Raw genomic sequence first — 21107 nt, forward strand, 5'->3', positions numbered from 1 at the left:
CACCTGAGGTCAGGAATTTGAGACTAGCCTGGCCAACATGGCAAAACCCCATCTCTAATAAAAATACAAAAATTAGCCGGGTGTGATGGCACACGCCTGTAATCCCAGGTACTCAGGAGGCTGAGGCAGGAGAATCGCTTGAACCCGGGAGGCAGAGGCTACAATGAACTGAGATCACCACTGTGCTCCAGCCTGGGCAACAGAGCAAGACTCCTTCTCAAAAAAAAAAAAAAAAAAAAAAAAAAAAGGCTGGGCTCAGAGGCTCACACCTGTAATCCCAACACTTTGGGAGGCCAAGGTGGGCGGATCACCTGAGGTCAGGAGTTCAAGACCAGCCTGGCCAACATGGCGAAACCCCGTCTCTACTAAAACTACAAAAATTAGGTGCATTGGCGGGTGTCCATAATTCCAGCTACTCAGGAGGCTGAGACAGGAGAATCGCTTGAGCCCAGGAGGCAGAGGTTGCAGTGAGCTGAGATCGCGCCACTGTACTTCCAGCCTAGGTGACAGGGTGAGACTCCGTCTCAAAAAAAAAAAAGAGAAAACCAGGGAAATGTGTAATGGGTTTGAGGAAACTTAAGGATAAAGGTTAAATAATTTAAAGTTTTCAGAGTTTTCCTGACTTAGGGGAATAAAGAAATTGACCTGGAATCTTTAATGTCGTTCTGCCTTCTGAGAATGGCTGTTGAGCTTCACATTCATGTACAGGAAGCCTCAATGCATATTCCCTTTGGTGAGTCAGGGAGATTCAGGTGCTTGAATTGTGAGCTGTTCCCCTGAGTTCAAGAGGACTTGAGTGCCAGGGACTGGCTGTGAGGCAACAGCGCCCTCACCATGTCCTCCAAAGCAGTCCAACTAAAAATGCTCAGCCTGGTGCTACCACTGCTCTTATAGGTACCAAATAGTGGGAGTGGCTTGAAAATTTGTGAGTCCAAAATTTCCAAACATTTTTTTCCTTCAACTTTAAGCTTTCCTGCATGGTCTGCAAAGGTTGAGGGCTTGTAGATCCCAACCCAGTCCCCCAGCTCCTGTGCTGTTCACAGACATACCAGATCCTCAAGGCCAGCCCCTTAGAAAGAATACCTGATGTTACAATTAAGTTGTGCTAGTACCCTTCATTGTTCTGAATGAGTCTTTCAATTCTCCTTTAGAAGCTAGTGCTAATTATGAATGTGTTTAATATACAAGCACGAAATTATGCTGTAAAAGTATAAAAGGGAAGGAAATAGAATTGTAAAGTGGGGTTTTCGGCATGGTGAAATGGGCTTTTTTTTCCCCTTTGATCATTTCTACTTAACAAAACATTTTAAAATATTTATCTAGTATTCAACTCTCAGAGGTAGAGAAATATAAACATTGAATTGAAGGATTTGTGTGGTCAAATCTAAAGCCCACCTAGTTCAAGAAACTGATGTCAGAGAAGGGACTGCCCAACATAACAGCATTTGTTTGTTCATTCAGTAAATAGTTTTTAGGTTCTATTATATTCCAGCTATTGTAGCAATCACAAAACTAGAAATCAAGTCCGGTATTTTGTTTCCCATTGCCCTTTTCCCTAAACCTAATGGTGCCTGTTTATCTCAGGTAGATATTTTGGGTATCTGTCTCCATAAGGTCACTAAAGTATTAGCCCAGCATTGTGATCACTGTGCATGGAAGATCCTAACCCTTGTCTCAGAAAAGCTTACTTGTTTACTTAAGTAAAAGCTTTGTACAGAGGGCTTAAGCTCTTTAAACCTCAGCTTCCACATCTATAAAAGGGGTATAACAGCACCTGCCCTAAGGATTAGAAGTGGTCAGGCCCACACAGCTCTGGTTAAGTACCAGGTATCCAGTGAGCTCTCCCTGCTGTACCTGCTCTTCCAAGAGCACAGTGCCATATGGGAAATGGAATTAATGCCATACTAAGGGGACTACAGAGCACAGAAAGGCCCCAAACCCAGCTAGGCAGGCCAGAGGACATCCTGGAGGAGGCCACAACTGAGCCAAACTTAACAGCAGGAATGCACTAAAACCTAAGATCCACTCACAGTAAACAGTTAACAAAATCCTCCTCTTTGGGAAAAAATGAATTTTCTAACATCGTGGACTTGCTTTTGAAAACTTTTTATTCACAACTAGGATTATGCAAAAGCAACTCAACTTCAGTTAAAACAAGTCATTTCATAATTGTTTTAAAACAAACTATTGAATACAATGAGTGCACATTTTAGGGCTTTATATCATCTTCTTCCTCTTCATGCTCTGCTTTCCTCTTTCTGGAAGGTTTACCTGAATAAATATGAGAGGTAAGACATAAAATTCAATATAAAATGTTTCTGGAAATTTTATCTAAAATGGTTCTGACCTGACAGTGACGAGCCAGCCCTTCACGTTAGAGCCCAGTTTCTCCACCCTTGGTAGCCAATGTGTGTCCCCACAGACACTGCCTAGATCAGGCAACTGAACCTAGGTTTCCCCTGGGCAGTGGTCAGGGCTGAAGGGACACTTACTTTTTTTTTTTTTTGAGACAGAGTTTTGCTCATTTCCCAGATTGGAGTGCAGTGGCGCGATCTCGGCTCACTGCAACCTCGGCTCACTGCAACCTCCATGTCCTGGGTTCGAGCAGTTCTCCTGCCTCAGCCTCCCAAATAGCTGGGATTCTAGGCATGCACCACCATGCCCGGCTAATTTTTGTATTTTTAGTAGAGATGGGTTTTCACCATGTTGGCCAGGCTGGTCTCGAACTCCTGACCTCAGGTGATCCGCCCGCCTCAGCCTCCCAAAGTGCTGGGATTACAGGCATGAACCACTGCACCCGGCCTACATAGCATTTATATTGTATTATAAGTAATCTAGAGAAAATTTTTTGTTTTCAGACAGGGTCTTGCTCTGTTGCCCATGCTGGAACGCAGTGGCATGATGACGGCTCACTGCAGCCTCGACCTCCTAGGTTCCATTGATCCTCCTGCCTAAGCTTCCTAAGTAGCTGGGACTACCTGTGCTCAGCTAATTTTTTATTTTATTTTATTTTATTTTATTTTTGTTGTTGTTGTTGTTGTTGTTGTATAGCTGGGGGTCTAATCTTGGTCTCAGGCTGGGCTCAAACGATCCGCCCGCCTCAGCCTCCCAAAGTGCTGGGCTCCCAAAGCACCCAGCCTACAGATGATTTAAAGCATAGCTTATATGCAAATGTTAAACTATCTTATATAAGCAACTTGAGCACTTGTGGATTTTGGTGTCCTCTGAGTCCTGGAACCAATCTACCATGGATACTGAGGGACAACTGTGTGTTGTGTAGAGAGAGGAAAAAATAAATGAAAACACAGTGACCAATGTTGTCACTGCAGTGTTTTTCCTGTCTGTATCTCCAGAACCTAGAACACAGCATGTGTTCAGAAAACATTGAATGAATTAATATGGCCAATGGGCAATACCATAGTGATTCTCTTATATAATTAATACTTAAGGCCAGGCACGGTGGCTCACGCCTGTAATCCCCACACTTTGGGAGGCCGAGACAGGCAGATCACTTGAGGCCCAGGAGTTTGAGACCAGCCTGGCCAACATGGCAAAACCCCATCTCTTCTAAAGATACAAAAAAAAAAAAAAAAAAAAAAAATTAGCCGGGCATGGCGGTGCATGCCTGTAATTTCAGTTACTCAAGTGGCTGAGGCACAAGAATTGCTTGAACCTGGGAGGTGGAGGTTGCAGTGAGCCAAGACTGTGCCACTGACTCTAGCCTGGGCAACATAGCAAGACTGTCTCAAAATAAAATCAATAAATAAAAGACATAAAATGTATTTGTACTTGTGATCTTATAAAAGGAAGAGAAAACAATTAAAGGAAAATATTTTCATAACAAATGAGATAACCCCTCAACTATTACATTGAAATAAAGACACCCAGTTTTAAGCCAGGCACCATAGCTCACGCCTGTAATTCCAGCACTTTGGGAGGCCAAGGTGGACGGATTGCTAGAGGCCAGGAGTTCAAGACCAGCCTGAGCAACGTAGTGAGACCCCTATCTCTACAAACCATTTTAAAAATTAGCCAAGCATGGTGGTGCATGCCTGTCGTTACAGCTACTCAGAAGGCTTTGGCAGGAGGATCACTTGAACCCATGAGATCGAGGCTGCAGTCAGCCATGATCATGCCACTGCATTCCAGCCTGGGCAACAGAGCAAGACCCTGTCTTAAAAATAAAATAAAATTAAAGGCTGGGCGTAGTGGTGTCTCATGCCTGTAATCCCAGAACTTTGGGAGGCTGAGGCGGGAGGATCACTTGAGGTCAGGAGTTTGAGACCAGCCTGGCCAACATGGTGAAACCCCATTGCTACTAAAAAATACCAAAATTAGCCAGCCTTGGTGGCAGGCGCCTGTAATCCCAGCTACTTGGGAGGCTGAGGCAGGAGAATCACATGAACCTGGGAGGTGGAGGTTGCAGTGAGCCGAGATTGTGCCACTGTACTCCACCCTGGGTGACAGAGTGAGACTCCATCTCAAAAAAAATAAATAAATTTTAAAAGACACCCAGTTTCCCACAATGAACATGGTAGATCACCTCTTGCTCTACCCATATGAAGCAATTCGTAGTTCTGTAGCCGAGACTTGATATCTCAGGCCCTGCACCTTTCTTTACAGGCCTTTCCATCTTCCTAGAGTGCCTAACCTGGCCTGTGTGCTTGTAAGCTTCTGCTCATTCTTCAATACCCAGCAGAGACTTCCTCCTCCATGCAGCCTTCCAAGACCCACCTGAGTACAGGTATCAGACCTTTGGGCCACTCCTAGTCCTACTGCTGCATTTATCTCACTGGATTTCAGTCAAGTGTGTAGACAGCTAATTTGTGCATGCCTGGTCTGTGAGCTCTGTTCCCAGCAGTTGGCTCCTGAGTACAGGGTAAACTCAGAATTGAATACATTTGGTCTTACTTCATCATTACTGAGTTTTTTTGCTCTCACTAATCTTTGAGTCTTATCTTCTGACCCCTCATCAGTGTCTGAGGAATAGATGCTGGCTTGTTCCTCTGAAAGCAAAGGAATTTTAGACATGGGATTCACCTTCAAAGATGGTTTATTTCTCAATGTTTCTTCTGCCAAATATTGTTACTTCCTACTGTACATTTTTCCTGAAGGAGTCAACTTTCTTTAAAAGTTTCAGCGGGAAGGTAAATAGAACTTTCAGACATGCTGAAATGACTAGATTTGAGAGATTTTGTTCTCAGAGAGGTTATTTGATCACTTTTAAATACGCACACATCAATTTTAAGAACTGTGAAGCTTAAATATTGGGTCTTTATACAAGCAGAGGAACTGCCTTATATACATTTCCCTCCACAAGGACATAAATTGTTTAACTGATTTTATTTGGAGGATGCCATGTTTTCCTTTTTCTTTTTCTTTCTTTGTTTTTTTGAGACAAAGTTTGCTCTTGTTGCCCAGGTTGGAGTGCAGTGGTGCAATCTTGGCCCACTGCAACCTCCACCTCCTGGGTACAAGCGATTCTCCTGTCTCAGCCTCCCGAGTAGCTGGGTTTACAGGGGTCCACCACCATGCCTGGCTAATTTTTTTGTTTTTAGTAGAGACGGGGTTTCACCATGTTGGCCAGGCTGGTCTTGAGTTCCTGACCTCAGGTGATCCGCCTGCCTCGGCCTCCCAAAGTGCTGGGATTACAGGCGTGAGCCACTGTGCCCGGCCAGATGCCATATTTTCACAGCTAATCTTTTCTGTGGGGGAGTAGCCCTAAGAAAAACAAAAAGGCCTTCGTACTTTTGTCCTCAGTAAATAGTAGGACAAGGACTAAGAGCTCGCCAGAGCAAAAGCAGGCACTGCCACCCTGAAATGATGAAATGTGACCTCCATACCTGACTCACTTTGGAGTTCACCTTGATAATAGTTTTTAATAGCAGCCAGGCTGAAGGTGTGCTTGCCTTCCTCCTCTGCACTGTCACTGCCAGGGTCCTGGTAGGAGACACTTGGCCACTCCTGGTAGCGCTTCTCCCGCAGATGGATTCCCTGAGACTCCCGTTGAGTGGAAGCCCTCAAGCGTTCTTCTTTCTGTAAAAAAGCAAATAACCTCTTCAGCCTAAAACAGAAACTTGTGCCCTCTTGCATCTACTTTTACCATAAAGAACACATAACAGCTGTCCCATGTGTCTTTGGGGTACCATCTTCCCCATCACACCTCTGTTACTCCACGTGGATCCATTGGTTTGCAGGTGTGAAGGCAATGCAAGGGTGAAGAGGCAGAAGGGGCCAGGTGTGGTTCACGCCTGTAATCCCAGCACTCTGGGAGGCCAAGGCGGGCAGATCTCTTGAGGTCAGGAGTTCGAGACCAGCCTGGGCAACATGGCAAAACCCCGTCTCCACCAAAAAATGCAAAAATTAGATGGAGGTGGTGGCGCATGCCTGTAGTCCTCAGCTACTTGGGCGGCTGAGGCAGGAGAATCACTTGAACTTGGGAGGCAGAGGTTGCAGTGAGCCAGGATCATGCCACTGTAGTCCAGCCTGGGCAACAGAGCGAGACTCCATCTCAAAAAGAAGCAGCAGAAGGGTGCCCTGACACTAACCGGCTCAATTGGCATTGGCACAGGCCTGTCCTTCAGAACCTTGCTGGTGTTCTGTTGGCACAGGCCTGTCCTCCAGAGCTATGCTGCTGTTTTGTGCTGCCACTTGGCCCAGAGAGAAGCATCCCACCCGAATTGACCTCCTGGAGCAGCAGAGGCTGTTTCTGTTCATCCCTGAGCCACAACCACCTGACCTGCCCAGGCTCCACCAAACTCCCATGGCTCCCAGATATTCCTGTCCTGACCCCTCAACCCAGAGCTCCCCATAGCTCCAGTGAGAGAATGGGGAGGCCTTACTAGGGGACAGTTCTTGAGCCACAAGGTAGACTTCATTTTTTAAAATCTGCCTGGCATTTCACACATTGGGGTTCACAATGTATGTTTGTGAAAGGTTACTTTTTTAAAATCATCAGTTTTCTAGATTTCAGAGTCCTTTGTTTGGTAGTCTCACCAGCAGCCATTGACATTACTGTGGTTAACTACACACTTAGAAGGTTAAGCTGGTTCCCTAATAACTGCAAGAAATAAAACAGCAGTGGCAATAAGAAATGGTGAATTAATGTTCTGGAAAACATAGGTCTTACTACCCCAAATGTCCCAGGATAAAGCTTAGCAAACATACCTTCTTCATCACTTGTGTGTGTTGGCCTTCAGGATCACGACCCGCCATTGGTAAGATTCTAATTTTCTGTGTCTTTGAACTTCTATTAGCAAGTGGCAGGGTCATCTTTCTGTATGTGGCACTGTCTCTAGAGTGAGGTCTGCCAGGAAGTGGACAAAAATGTCTCACTGGTTACTAAGAACATTTGGAGGCAAGCATACTGACAGCAAAAACACCCGGGGACGAGGACCTCACACTCAGCAGACAGAGGAGGCAGGATCACAGTTCTTCCTTCTCCAGCCTCCTGAGAAGCTCCTCCCTCTGCCCCACCTCCTGGGGAAAGCTGACTGGGCTAAAGTGGGAGTGCAGTGGAAGTGAGGAGAGGCAGGTGGCAACGTCAGTCTTTTACAAAGAATATCCCCGATTGCAGTCAGAGAGAGGAGAAGAGAAGGAATATGAAATCTCAGTTTCCAGAGAGAGATGCAGATGCCAGAAGGGACAATTAGAGAACTAACAATGAGTCTCTTCATCTGGAAAAAATTGGAAGTCAAAGCAAGGAGGTAGGTCACAGTAGCAGCAGGGGCCTTATAACAGCCCAGGGGGATAATACAGCTAGACCAGGAGTCCTGGGGCGGAAAGAAATGTCTTCCTGACTATAGGAAGGCAGCTTTTAATTACGTATATCAGAGGGGAGGAGAATGATCCTTAGGGGAGTCTCTGGAAGAGAGAGCATGGCTATAAAGAGACGGGACGTCCAGAATGAGATGGTGCCAGGCAGTCAAATATTATCGCAGTGTGGAGCACAGGGGACAGTGAAAAAAAGCAAGCTCAGAATCACACGTCTTTTAGGATGCTATTCTAGGAGAGATGATTAAGAGACTGGATTGAGCACCACTCACCACTTGTGCCAGGTCTCTGTTTGATGTTCTGTGTGTTATTTGAATTCATTGATACAACATCCGTGTGCAGTAGATGTTGTTATTGCAATTTTATAGATAAGGAAGGTGGAAATTAGTGTGATTGCAACCCTTCCTCAAGATTACATAACCTCAGAGCTGTCCTTATTTATAGTCTATAAAAAGACCAACAGATTTACTGAATATGATTTACATACTATAACATCCATTCGTTTAAGTATACAACTAAACAGTTTTACAACCATGACCCCTATCTGATTTTAGAAAACTTCCACGTCCCCCAAAAGAGTGCTTGTCTTTTAAGTACTCCACCTCTGGAGGAAACCCTACTCCTAATCAACAGTACTGTGTCCTTCAGAGGGAAGGCATGGAGAAGGGGCCACAACACTGAGCTTAGCTGGCCCCAGTATCTGACTGCTTAGGCACAGGCTGCAGCAGCCTCAGGTGAGTGGAGAGCCCAGCCTGCCGGGTCTGTTGCCGGCACACACCAACACCATTCTGATGATGGCCTAGCTTCCCAGGTCAATTTCACTCCAGGGAAAGGACCTGCTGAGCAGCAGAGTTGCAAGGACAAATCCTGCAGGCTTCTTACCAAGTATACTGATCAATGTGGATTAACATACCTACATTCTGGGCTATAATCACTCTCCTGGGAATTCTGATAGGATGAACTGGCTCCCTGACAAATAGCAGCTTGGAGTAAACTTGAAAAAGGTGTATGAGAACCAGACCATGGTCCAGGGGTGAGTTGTCCTATCTCTACTTTGTTGCTCCTTAAATGCAAGTAATCGTGTCGGTGTAATAGTTACCTAAAGGTAAGTTTGGATTTAAAGACGGCTTGTCCCTGTAGACCAGTGTCTTCTCTTATAAACAGGTGGATGTAATTGCCCAGCAGCGGGGCTTTGTACACATCAAACACTTCATTGCCTAAATGCAGGGACATGCTGGAAATGAGAAATAGTTCAAATATTAGGGTGGATATTTAATGAGTCCTATGGCTTCCATTCTGCCCTGTGAGCTTTGCTTAAAATAGTGTGGAACTGCTAGATCCTGACCTCATACTGAATTCATAGGAAAAGCAGAAAAGATGCTGTAAATAACCTGTCTCCTTCCAGAGTAAAAAGTGGTAAAAATCTATCCTCTTTTTAACTTGAAATATAATTGTTTTGTAATTTTATAAATCTCTACCACTTCATTAGCAAAGCAGAAACAAGTTTTCAAAAATATCAATTTGTCATGTCTGATATCTCACCAATGGGAGCTACCTTTAGTCTTTCACATCAGTAAGGTAGACACAATGGCTTTTGTCACATCTTCAGTTCATTTCTGAAGTCTCCACCAGCACAGCTATAAGACCTCCACCCTATTTACTTCTCTCAGGTTTCCTAGGTAATTCCAGAGACCTAGATTTTTGTAAATCCTTTAGTGAAAATGACCCCAGGCTGGGCGCAGTGGCTCACTCCTGTAATCCCAGCACTTTGGGAGGCCGAGGAAGGCGGATCACCTGAGGTTAGGAGTTTGAGACCAGCATAGCCAACATGGTGAAACCCTGTCTCTACTGAAAATACAAAAATTAGTTGGGCATGGTGGCACATGCCTGTAATCCCAGCTACTCATGAGGCTGAGGCAGAATAATTGCTTGAGCCCAGGAGACGGAGGTTGCAGTGAGCCAAGATTGCACCACTGCACTCTAGCACTCCAGCCTGACAGAGCAAGAGTCTGTCTCAAAAAAAAAAAAGAAGAAAAGAAAATGACCCCAAAAGAAGTTTCTACAAAGAAAACCTCACTCATCCCAGGCCTCCCTCTTGGTATGTCAGTATTTTTCAGGCATTTTATGCTCACCTTCTGTCTGACCACTTGACCATCCGAGCATTGCTTTCTTTAATTTTATTTCCTTCTTTATCCCGGCGTATCCTCCATCTTATAGTATTTTCTACCTGGTTAAAAACCCAGAGGCATTGGTTAGTTAAACCAGTTTAGCTAACTAAATGTTCTTCTTTCTTCAAGTGATTTATAATCATGTGTAAAGACTTGATAGGTAATGATAGAAGAAGCTTACAAAAACTAACTGATTCAGCAAAACTGAAACCTACCTGCTACAAATACCTAGAGATGTTGGTTAAACTAACCAGACATTTTCTTTAAATCTTTTCTGAGCTCCAGTTCATAGCAGTGGAAGCAGGAGCTAAGTAGGACGCAGGCCAGAGGTGTTATCAAACAAAACACATGAAGAACTCCAAAGGAGAGAGCATGAGGCTTAGGGTCCACATGAGGCAGAGAGTTTAAAATGAGACCTCTGCCTATGGCAGGGCCACTTGAAGATGAACCCAATGAAAGAAGGGCTAAAAAGTGCCCCCATTCACCTAGTGAGACAGGGAAGCTCTGGGCATGAAATTACAATTTTTTAAAAAGAATAAACAACTAATTAACAAAAAATTAAAACATGAGATCGGTGCTTTGCCCTGTTTTTGAGTCTAAATTTATTCTACCCATATGGTGAACTCCAAGTCACAAAAGTAACAACAACAACAACAATTTCCCCTGCCCAATGATACCACTGGGGCCCCTGGTAGAAACTCTTAGGAAATCCTGTAGCCAGGTGTGGTGGTGTGCACTTGTAGTCCCAGCTACTCAGGAGGCTGAGGTGGGAAGATCACTTGAGCCCAGGAGTTTGAGACCGTTCTGGGCAAAACAGCGAGGCCCATCTCAAAAACAAAAACAAAAACAAAAAAAAACACACAAAAGTTTTAAATTTAAAAAAAAAAATTGTTTTAAAGGAAACCCCCTTAAGGAAGAACAACACGCCTGTGAAAGCAGTTGGTAGTACTTTGCCGTCCCAGGCCTTCAAGAGGGAACCACCTAATGACAAGGTCTCTTTTGTGCATAGTTTGAATATCCATGAAGAAAGGAGATATTTCTGTTGTGGGAAATTGCCAGGATCCACCCACTGTAAAATGTGGAGGCAATTCCATATACCTTATTATTATTTATCCTGAAGGAAGTAGCTAACAATTTTCAAAAATTTTTATCTTTACTTATGTCAAAAAAAGCATAACTGCAACCAAAAGAAGAAAGTGACAATTCTACAGGGATAAAAAAGGGCACATACCTCCTCCCGTAAAAATATTCCGAAAAGGTGTTTAATTCCTAGGTCTAAAGAGCTATTGAACAAGAATCATAAGAGGATTTCGCAAGCTCAAGTCTCAAGTTGTCATCCCTGCTTTACTTTATAAAAGGAAAAACGTAAAAAAGGAATAAAGTGTAGGATGGTACCTTTAATTTTAACCTGATTCTGTCTTCCTCGTCAAGCACTTTCTCATCTTCAAATTCATCTTCATAAAACTGAGGATCAAAAGGTCTAAAAATTGTGTTTTTAACATCATGTTAGCCATATTTAGTAAGGAATATGATTAATATTATATTTAATCATCCCCACAATGTGCCTTCATGTGTTTCCAAAAATCACAGTAGACAAATAACTTCATGTAAACCTTCAAAGAAGTATGCAAATTACCATGCTTTCTGAAATTTGTCTCTAAAACATATTGCCTGAAATGAAATTCAAATGCAACTAACAATTCAAAATGTTATTTGATGAAATATGTCTTCCAAAGTATAGGCAACAGGTCTTACTGTCTTCCCTTATTTTTTAAGAAAATGTGTTAAGCATAAGAGCTTGCATGCGTGTACCTTAGTGAATCATACCCACTGACACTATTTTGTAGTACAAAATAATTGTCTTTTCTAGATTCGCAATGGATTTTGCATTAAACATTTGTAATTTTTTTTTTTTTTTAGACAGAGTCTCACTCTGTTACCCAGGCTGGAGTGCAGTGGCAGAACCTCGGCTCACTGCAACCTCCATCTGCTGGATTTAAGAGGTTCTTACGCCTCAGCCTCCCAAGTAGTTGGGATTACAGGCGTGCGCCACCATGCCTGGCTAATTTTTGTATTTTTAGTAGAGACAGGGTTTCACCATTTTGCCCAGGCTGGTCTCAAACTTCTGACCTCAAGTGATCTGCCCGCCTCAGCCTCCCAAAGTGGTGGGATTACAGGCATGAGCCACCGCACCTGGCCAGAACATTTGTGATTTCTCTAGCAGACTTTCTCACTCTTGTTTTCTGATTTGTCAGCTTTATACCAGTGAAAAACACCTTCATCCATTGTGATCTGTTTATGTAAAAGAAAGTGCCAAAATGCTAGAAAAATTATTAGCATTAAAATTCTCTCTCACCAGTGATTCATTTTTCTACCACAGCACATCCTAGATTTATATTTTTCAAAGTTATATGAGAAATTTCCCATCTTTGTGATTAGTCAACTCATGACAAATAAGAAAAAATATTTATTCTACGCATTTTTTTTAATATCTTGAAAATTTTAATCAGTCCTCTTACTTGGGTTCTATACTGAGAAACTTGGGTAGTTTAACAAAATACAATTCATTTCCTAAATCAGAGTTGATACTGGGAATTTCTTCTTCTATTATGGTTTCAGAAATTGGCTCTTCCTCCTGCTGGTCCTGAGGCACTCCATGTTCATCCTAAGAAAGGTATCAGAATGTGAGAGATTGAAGACATTAGAAATGTGCTAGCTTTACTCATCCTGCACTAGGCAGATGCAGGTTTGACGGGAAGTAAATTTTTTTTTTGATATGGAGTTTTCACTCTGTCACCCAGGCTGGAGTGCAGTGGCATGATCTCGGCTCGCTGCAACCTCCATCTCCCGGGTTCAAACCATTCTCCTGCCTCAGCCTCCTGAGTAGCTGGGATTACAGGCCCGTGCCACCAAGCCTGGCTAATTTCTGTATTTTTAGTAGAGACGGGGTTTCACCATGTTAGTCAAGCTGGTCTCAAACTCCTGACCTTAGGTGATGTGCCCACCTTGGCCTCCCAAAGTGCTGGGATTATAGGCGTGAGCCACCACCCCTGGTTGGGAAGTAAATTTACACTCCACTTTAGGGATAAAACAGTCAGCAACTCTTCCAAGCTTCTCCCTAAAACCTCACCTCATGCCTACAAAAAAGCAAAACAGGCTGGGCGCGGATTACTGGCTCACGCCTGTAATCTTAGAGACTTCGTCTCAAAAAAAAAAAAAAAAAAAAGGAAGACAAAACAAAACAAATAAAACACAGGAAAACAAGATCTGTTAGCCAACATTAGTAGAAAAAAGTATCTATTTTATTGACTTTTTTGCATAATATATTCAGCAACAGAAGTATGAAATTATTCACCCCATCAATACTAGACAACTATTAAAATCAGAATATCAGCATAGCTCATGCTTCTTGTCATAGGCTTGAATAAGAAAAAACTTTAAATCAAAGGTTTTTATATTACATATTAATTATATTTTTATATTATTTTATATTAGTCTAGCCCCTAAAGTTTGGCATCACCCTTATTCTGGGTAGTTCCTTCTGTGCCTTCTTATATCCAGAAATTCCCAATATAGCTAAGAAAGTCACCTATTCATCAGATGTTCAGCTATCCACGTCCTCTCTCAACATGAGAAAGACAGATTCATCAGCCTCTGAAGCTTTCTTTTTTAGCTTTGAATAATGGGATTGGTTGATATTGGTGATCGTACTTACAATCAGCTGTCCTGGAATAGGTGGTTGATTGCCCTCATCACTCTCAGAAGAAACGTCGTCTATATCTCCAAACAGATCCATGGTCCCACTAGGATCTTCGGTGTTGGGGGGAAATGCACAGTATTAATTTTTCCAACTAAAGTTCTTTACACAGTTAGTTCTTGGTCCACCACTTCAACATAGTCCAAAGATTCATAAGCCAAATCTCCACTAAACCAACCTCAAACTGGCTCCCTAAGCCAGGTTCTCAGAAGCTTAACTAACTAGCGTGTCTTTGGAGAAAGGAGGAGGCAGAGTTGGTGGGTGAAAGGTAATCACTGTGGCAGCCAGCTTTCAAGGTTCCTGCCCATCCTAGTGATTCCTGCCTCTGGTTTCCATGCCCTTGTGTGGTCTCCTCCAACACTGTGTCATGATTGATCTATGTGATCAGCAGAATACAACCTGTATTCGAGATGAGGCTATGAAAGACACTGGCTTTTCTGTCTTGCTCTTTCTGTCTTAGGTCACTTGCTCTGGGGAAAGCCACCTGCCATGCCGTGAGGACATTCAAACTGCCTATGGAGAGGTCCACATAGTGAAAAACTAAGGCCCCTGCCAAAACCCATGTGAGCCATCTTGGAAACAGATCCTTCAGCCCTAGGCAAGCCCTTAGATAATGTAGTGCCAGCCAACATCTTGACAGCAGCCTGCAAGAGACTCTGAGTTAGAAACAACCAGCGAAGCCATTCCTGAATTCCTAATCCTCAGAATCAGCATGATAATAGTAAATGCTTATTGTAAGTGCTGAGTTTGAGAGTGATTTGTTTTTATGTTTTTTTTTTTCTTTTTTTTTTTTTTTTTTTTTTGAGACAGGGTCTCACTTCGTCAACCAGGCTAGAGTACAATGGTGCGATCTCGGCTCACTGCAACCTCTGCCTCCCAGGTTCAAGCAATTCTTCTGCCTCAGCCTCCCAAGTAGCTGGGACTGTAGACACACACCACCATGCCCGGCTAATTTTTGAATTTTTAGTAGAAACAGGGTTTCACCATGTTGGTCAGGCTGATCTGAAACTACTGTCTTCAAGTGATCCACCCGCCATGGCCTCCCAAAGTGCTGGGATTACAGGTTTGAGCCACTGTGCCCGACCAGTTCTTTAGAGAAGTTTTACTAGTGTTTACCCTTTAAAAAGCTTAAGGTTCTATAAAAATGTTACGAACCTTTCCTAAATTCCTGGCTTTTAAAAGTGATGCATCCATAAGTGAGCCTAAGTACACAAACTTGTGGCATCAGGAGCCAGGGCCAAAATGTGTGCATTACTAGAACATGAAAAGCACCATTGCTTAGGGCTATCTTCCTAGTTACAATGTCTGAGTCATGGCCAGATGTGGTGGCTCATGCCTGTAATCCCAGCACTCTGGGAGGCTGAGGTGGGTGGATCACCTGAGGTCAGGAGTTGAGACCAGGCTGGTCAACATGGCGAAACCCTATCTTTACCAAACTTACAAAAATTAGGCAGGCGTAGTGGCACATGCCTGTAATCCCAGCTACTCAGGAGGCTGAGGCACGAGAATTGCTTGAACCCAGGAGGTGGAGGTTGCAGTGAGCCGAGATGCAGAGCGAGACTCCGTCTCAAAAAAAAAAAAAAAAAATTGCAAGTCAGTAAGTTAGTGAATAGCTAGATGCATAATTTGTACAATTTTATAAAGTTTAAGAAAAAGACATTTGCAATGGAGTTATGCTGACTCTTTTCCCTTGTTTGAATCCCCCAAACTGTCACAAAGTATATTTGATGGTAGCTTTGATTGTGATTGTGGCTGTCTAACAAAGACATCTGTTAACCAACACCTGCCAGGGCTCCCGGCTGAAATATGTAGCAACAAAGGAGCAAAATTCTGAACCAAAACAGAAAGAGTGCTTAACAGCATTTCACAACAGTGCTGCTCAGGACCAGCCCAACACTGAATGTATCTGCACTGTGCAAGAATGTTCATAGAAGCCTATGTTGTCCATATTTATCCACAATTGTGTCATATCTTTTTTTATTTTTTATTTTATTTTATTTTTTGAGACGGTGTCTCACTCTGTCGCCCAGGCTGGAGTGCAGTGGCACGATCTTGGCTCACTGCAAGCTCCACCTCCTGGGTTCAAGCAATTCTCCTGCCTCAGCCTCCGTAGCAGCTGGGATTACAGGCACCTGCCACCACACACAGCTAATTTTTGTGTTTTTAGTAGAGACGGGGTTTCACCATGTTGACCAGGCTGGTCCTGAACTGCTGACCTCAAGTAATCCACCTTCCTCGGCCTCCCAAAGTGCTGGGATTACAGGTGTGAGCCACGACACCCAGCCTAATTTGTGTCAAATCTTAAATCATTTGGCAAAGTACACATGAGCACATAGTATTTCATTCAGTTGGAGTTTCTTGGGTGTTTTCTTTAAGGTATTTGCAGTTGCTGCCCCTTTCTTGAACTCTGAGTACTAGAATCTTTTTAATTCTCAATATGAGTGGAGGTTTTTAGCTATAAATTAAATAGGAACTTGGCCTGCATAGCCACTGTGTATGGCCCAGAGCTGAGCAGACAGCCATAGTCATTTTATTATTTGCATACTGGGGACTAAACAAATGAGTAAATAAATTGAGGATATTTGAAACCAGGCTTTTTGCTTTTGGAGAAGGGGACAGAAGAGGCAATTCAGTAGGAGTCTGTATTAAGGGAGTCTGAGCCACCTAAACAAGAAACCTTCTCATGCCTTCTGGACCTCATTGGGCCGAGACAATAGATTGGTAAAAGACTGCCATACATACGCCCAATCTTACGGCTTCCTGGGACAGAAAATGCCCAGTTCATTCTGAGAAGCTCAGCCTGTGTAGTTACTTGATGTTCCATGATTAAGTGTTAAAAGGGCCTGTCTAGGCTGGGTGCGGTGGCTCTCGCCTGTAATCCCAGCACTTTGGGAGGCCGAGGCGGGTGGATCACAAGGTCAGGAGATTGAGACCATCCTGGCTAACATGGTGAAACCCTGTCTCTACTAAGAAAGTACAAAAAAATTAGCTGGGCGTGGTGGCAGGTGCCTGTAGTCCCAGCTACTCGGCAGGCTGAGGCAGAAGAATGGCGTGAACTCGGGAGGCAGAGCTTGCAGTGAGCCGAGATCGCACCACTGCACTCCAGCCTGGGGGTAGAGCAAGACTCCATCTCAAAAAAAAAAAAAAAAAAAAAGGGACTGTCTACAAAAGAGGACATGGATATGTTTCAAATCCCTAGAGACCTGTACTCAGTTCTCTTGCTGATTCTAACCGCAGGGTTCAGACAGCAGTGATATTTGCCACAAACACACTGAGCATTATCAGATATGCTGGGTTATTAGGCCAAAGTGGAAGAGCAGTTTGCCCTGTAGCCTGGAATTACTGCAGAACAGTCTCTTATTCTGGTCCTCACTTTAAACAGGTAGCATCTCTGCCTTACTTGGCAAAAGGTCAAAGTAGCATAATGAAATAAAGTGTACGTTGGCTCCTAAATCCAGAAAGATCCACCAAACATTCTTTTGCACTGGTAGGTGGTTTAAGGTACAGCACCTTATCCTTCATTTTGGAGGGGCTATCCAGACATGCTCCAGACCATTAGTCCCCCAGAAACTTCACTGAGGTGGCATGCCCCTAAATTTTGATGGGGATTATCTCCCACTCTCTGGTTTGCACGCTGATTACTAAGGCATCTAAAGTACAGTTATTTCCTACTCATCAGATCAGATACCATCAGCATAATGTCATCAATGCAGTGGACCAGTGTGACATGGGGAACATAAAGATGGTCACGATTTTTGCAGACTCCATATGCAAAGTATTATAGGTAAGTCCATGTAGCTGTGAGGCAAGACTGTTGCCTCAGACCAAAGGGGCTTCATTGGTCTAATAAGGGGTACCATTGGTCTAATGAGGGGTGCCATTGGTCTAAAAAGTAAAAGCAAACTGTTTCTATTTGTCATTACATATTAATATGGAGGGGAAAAAAGCATTTGCCCAGGCTGGTCTTGAACTCCTGACCTCAGGTGATCCACCCACCTCGGCCTCCCAAAGTGCTGGGATTATAGGCGTGAGCCACCACACCTGGCCCTGCCTACAGCTTTTGAAGGATACATGTCCTCCTCTGCTTAATATATTTCTCACAATTCTAGTGACCCAGCCTGGGTGAGAGTGAGACTGTCTCAAAAAAAAAAAAAAAAAAAAAGCAGCCGCTAGTATAGTCATTATTTGATTCGGTGTAAGATAACCAGTCATTTCCAAGATCAATCTGCCAATAGGCCATACAGGTGAGCTAAATTAGGGATGTGGCCGGGTGCAGCGGCTCATGCCTGTAATCCCAGCACTTTGGGAGGCTGAGGCAGGCAAATCATCTGAGGTCAGGAGTTCTAGAGCAGCTTGGCCAACATGGTGAAACCCTCCCTCTACTAAAAATATAAAAAAACTAGCCAGGCATGGTAGCCTGTGTCTGTAATCCCAGCTACTCGGGAAGCTGAGCCAGGAGAATCACTTGAACCTGGGAGGCGGAAGTTGCAGTGGGCTGAGGTCGCACCACTGCACTCCAGGCTGGGCAATGGAGTGAGACTCCGTCTCAAAAATAAGTAAATAAGGAGCGAGACTCTGTCTCATAAATAAAGAAATAAAATAATGAATAAATAAATGGGGGATATAAGAGGTCTCATCACCTCTGCTTCTTTCAAGTCTTTGATGGTATCATTCATCTTTGCAATTCCCCCAAGCATGCAGTGTTGTTTTTGCTTTATTATCCTGGTGAGAAAAATAAGTTCCAGGGGCTTCCACTTGGTCCTTTCTACTTTAATGGTGCTTCATGGATCAGAAGACAATGTGGGGAATCTCTCAGTTGACAAAATATATCTACTCCAATCATGTATTTAAGAACTGGGGAAACAACCACAAGGTGGGTCAGTAAATCTGGAGGGCATACTGTGAGTTGAACTTGGGCTAAAACTCCATCTATCACCTGACCACTGTCAGTCTCCACTTTGTATTTAGTGGAGTGTTTTAGGTTCTAGGAGTGAGCATCAACTGAGCCAGCATCTAGTAATCCCCCAGTTCTGGGTATTTCCTTTCCCCAGTTTGTAGTCTACTCTAGTAAATGAGATAATCTGACTCATTGTGATACCAGTGGACACCATGGGCTACCAGCATCCCTTCTCATTGGTGGGGAGCTCAGAACTGCACTCAAACCCACACCAACTCCTAAACTCCATCTTTGAGGATTCGTTTCCTTGACCACCTAGTCAGGTTCTAGTCAGGAAACAGAAAACACACCAGTTATCTGTACAGATAGAATATTTTAAAGTTCAATTCGGTTTAAAGTTGTGGACTAGGTTATTGAAAGTATAAAAAGAGGAACTCTAAGAGTTCACAGAGATAGCATATGCAAAGAACAGCTTCCACCTGTGGGGCTGAGGGAACATAGGGACGAGGGGGGATTATAAAAACTTAAACACTTACATAAAGGGCCCCCTGGAGCTTAACTCATACCTGAGGAAAAGCTGCTGCCCAGCTGGTCCGGATGTCTCTCAGGGGAGAAAATGAAGCCGGGTCTCCAAGTGCTGGCAAAACTGCAAACTGGACTCTGCAGCTGCAGAAAGGCTCTGCCTCTGCTGAGGTGAAGAAGTGTTGGTGGGTCCTCTCACAGAAAATGGCAAGTCAACAGGAAGCCCCCCAGAAAGTTCCATAAGCAAACAGGAAGGAGCAATCCCTTCTTAGTTCTCCAGGCTTCCAGTCTTCCTTTGGCGCCCCCTAATAGGGGGCAGCTGGTGAAGCTCAAATCTGGTTTGTGGACTCCTGGCCCCAGCACCACCATGCCAGGTACAGAAGAGTAGGTTTGGAGACGAGACAAGAGCTTAACAACTGACACAGGTGTCTACTGGTAAAATGTTTAACACAAACACACAAAACTGTGTTGCCTTGGAGAGACTGGAGTCAGAATGAAGGCTCTTAAAAACCAGGTAGAGGAGTTTCCATTTGATTAGCCAGGAAATAGCTGGCACTGAAGATTTCTGAGTTAGGAAAGTGACATGATGATGACTTAGGCCTCCCTTCTCTTGATGTCACTTTTCTTTCTCTATAACCAGGCTTCAGGATAAGCCTCCCACAACTACCACTCCCAGTTTGGACTAATAGCACCAGGAAGAAAGAAGAGTAAAAGTAGAGGCTGTCAGTAAGGACAAGATTAGTGTATGCAGAAGAGCTCCACAGAGAAGGCAAATATGTGTGTGGTGGATTTCAAACGTACCTGCAAATCCTTTGCCATTCTTCCCATCAAGAGGAATCAAATTCCCGTCCCTTTGTATTTTTTGTTTTTTAAGACAGAGTCTCACTCTTGTCACCCAGGCTGGAGTGCAGTGGCAGGATCTCAGCTCACTGCAACCTCCGCCTCCCAGATTCAAACAATTCTCCTGCCTCAGCCTCCCGAGTAGCTAGGATTACAGCCACGCGCCACCATGCCCGGCTAATTTTGTATTTTTAGTAGAGACAGGGTTTCACCGTGTTAGCCAGGATGGTCTCGATCTCCTGACCTCAGGTGATGTCCACCTTGGCATCCCAAAGTGCTAGGATTACAGGCATGAGCCGCTGCGCCCGGCCCAGATCCCATCTTTATTTAAAATTTTGACATTTTGTTCATTATGGATTTTTTGACATTAATTTTGAATACAATATTTTAACAATTATATTACAACAATATCATCGTTATCATTGTGGATCAAATAGTGACCTACCCCCCCACCCCCCGCCGAATCCATGTCTACCCACAACTTCAGTATGTGACCTTATATGGAAACAGAGAATTTTGCACATGTAATTAGTTAAAATGATATCACACCAGATTAGAGTTAAATCCAATGAATAGTGTCCTTACAAACAGAGGGAGATCTGGAGATACTGAGACCCGGAACAGAGACACAAGGAAGGTCATGTGAAGACAGAGGCAGAGACTGAAGTCATACTGTCAAAAGCCACAGATCACCAGGAACTACCAGAAACTGAGAGGCAAGGAAGGATCCCTGTCAAGAATCTTCAGAGGCAGCATGGCCGTCCCACACCTTGATTTTGGACTCCAAGTCTCCAGAATTGTGAGAGAATCTCAGCCTGGCCCAGAAGGCTTCTTTGTGGGGAATGAGAGGAAGGGGGTTGAGAGAGCAGCAGGAATTCACTGAGACCTAAGACTTTGTTTGTTTAAAGCATTAACAAAATCAGTTCGCTTTGGGAAAAGTAGATTTTTTTTTTTTTTTGAGACAGAGTCTTGCTCTGTCGCCAGGCTGGAGTGCAGTGGCGCGATCTCGGCTAACTGCAACCTCTGCCTCCTGGGTTCAACCAATTCCCCCGCCTCAGCCTCCCGAGTAGCTGCGACTACAGGCACCCGCCACCACGACCTTGTGATCCACCTGCCTCGGCCTCCCGAAGTGCTGGGATTACAGGCATGA

At 43.9% G+C, this 21107-nt stretch overlaps 1 long non-coding RNA gene and 1 pseudogene across 4 annotated transcripts in view, besides 2 other annotated features; one reads left to right on the forward strand and one right to left on the reverse strand.

Annotated features, from left to right (window-relative positions):
- Positions 1–2090: 2090 nt before the first annotated feature.
- On the reverse strand, positions 2091–7248 carry LOC100422556 (LEO1 homolog, Paf1/RNA polymerase II complex component pseudogene; annotated as a pseudogene). Its single transcript, NR_109775.1, has 3 exons — positions 7168–7248; positions 5844–6036; positions 2091–2271 (listed from the first exon to the last, which is right to left on the reverse strand). The product of NR_109775.1 is annotated as an LEO1 homolog, Paf1/RNA polymerase II complex component pseudogene (transcript).
- The window catches only part of LOC112268148 (uncharacterized), a 28155-nt gene continuing 9316 nt past the window's right edge, over positions 2269–21107 (forward strand). Inside the window, exons 1-3 of one of the 3 annotated variants that reach the window (XR_002957717.2) lie at positions 7546–7706; positions 14159–14432; positions 17378–17482. This is a non-coding gene — a long non-coding RNA (uncharacterized LOC112268148). Of the gene's footprint in view, positions 4745–7545; positions 7707–14158; positions 14433–17377; positions 17483–21107 lie in introns of those variants that run through there. The other 2 variants (XR_007064635.1, XR_007064636.1) reach the window with 2 other exon arrangements.
- Positions 18634–18683: an enhancer, noted in NCBI's record as "active region_9408". NCBI's record gives its function as "activates an Ori minimal core promoter by ATAC-STARR-seq in GM12878 lymphoblastoid cells {active_cell/tissue: GM12878}" and the evidence as "EXISTENCE:reporter gene assay evidence [ECO:0000049][PMID:35858748]".
- Positions 18904–19123: an enhancer, noted in NCBI's record as "active region_9409". NCBI's record gives its function as "activates an Ori minimal core promoter by ATAC-STARR-seq in GM12878 lymphoblastoid cells {active_cell/tissue: GM12878}" and the evidence as "EXISTENCE:reporter gene assay evidence [ECO:0000049][PMID:35858748]".

Source organism: Homo sapiens, chromosome 15 (assembly GCF_000001405.40).
Source record: "Homo sapiens chromosome 15, GRCh38.p14 Primary Assembly".
In the NCBI taxonomy this organism is placed as follows: domain Eukaryota; kingdom Metazoa; phylum Chordata; class Mammalia; order Primates; family Hominidae; genus Homo; species Homo sapiens.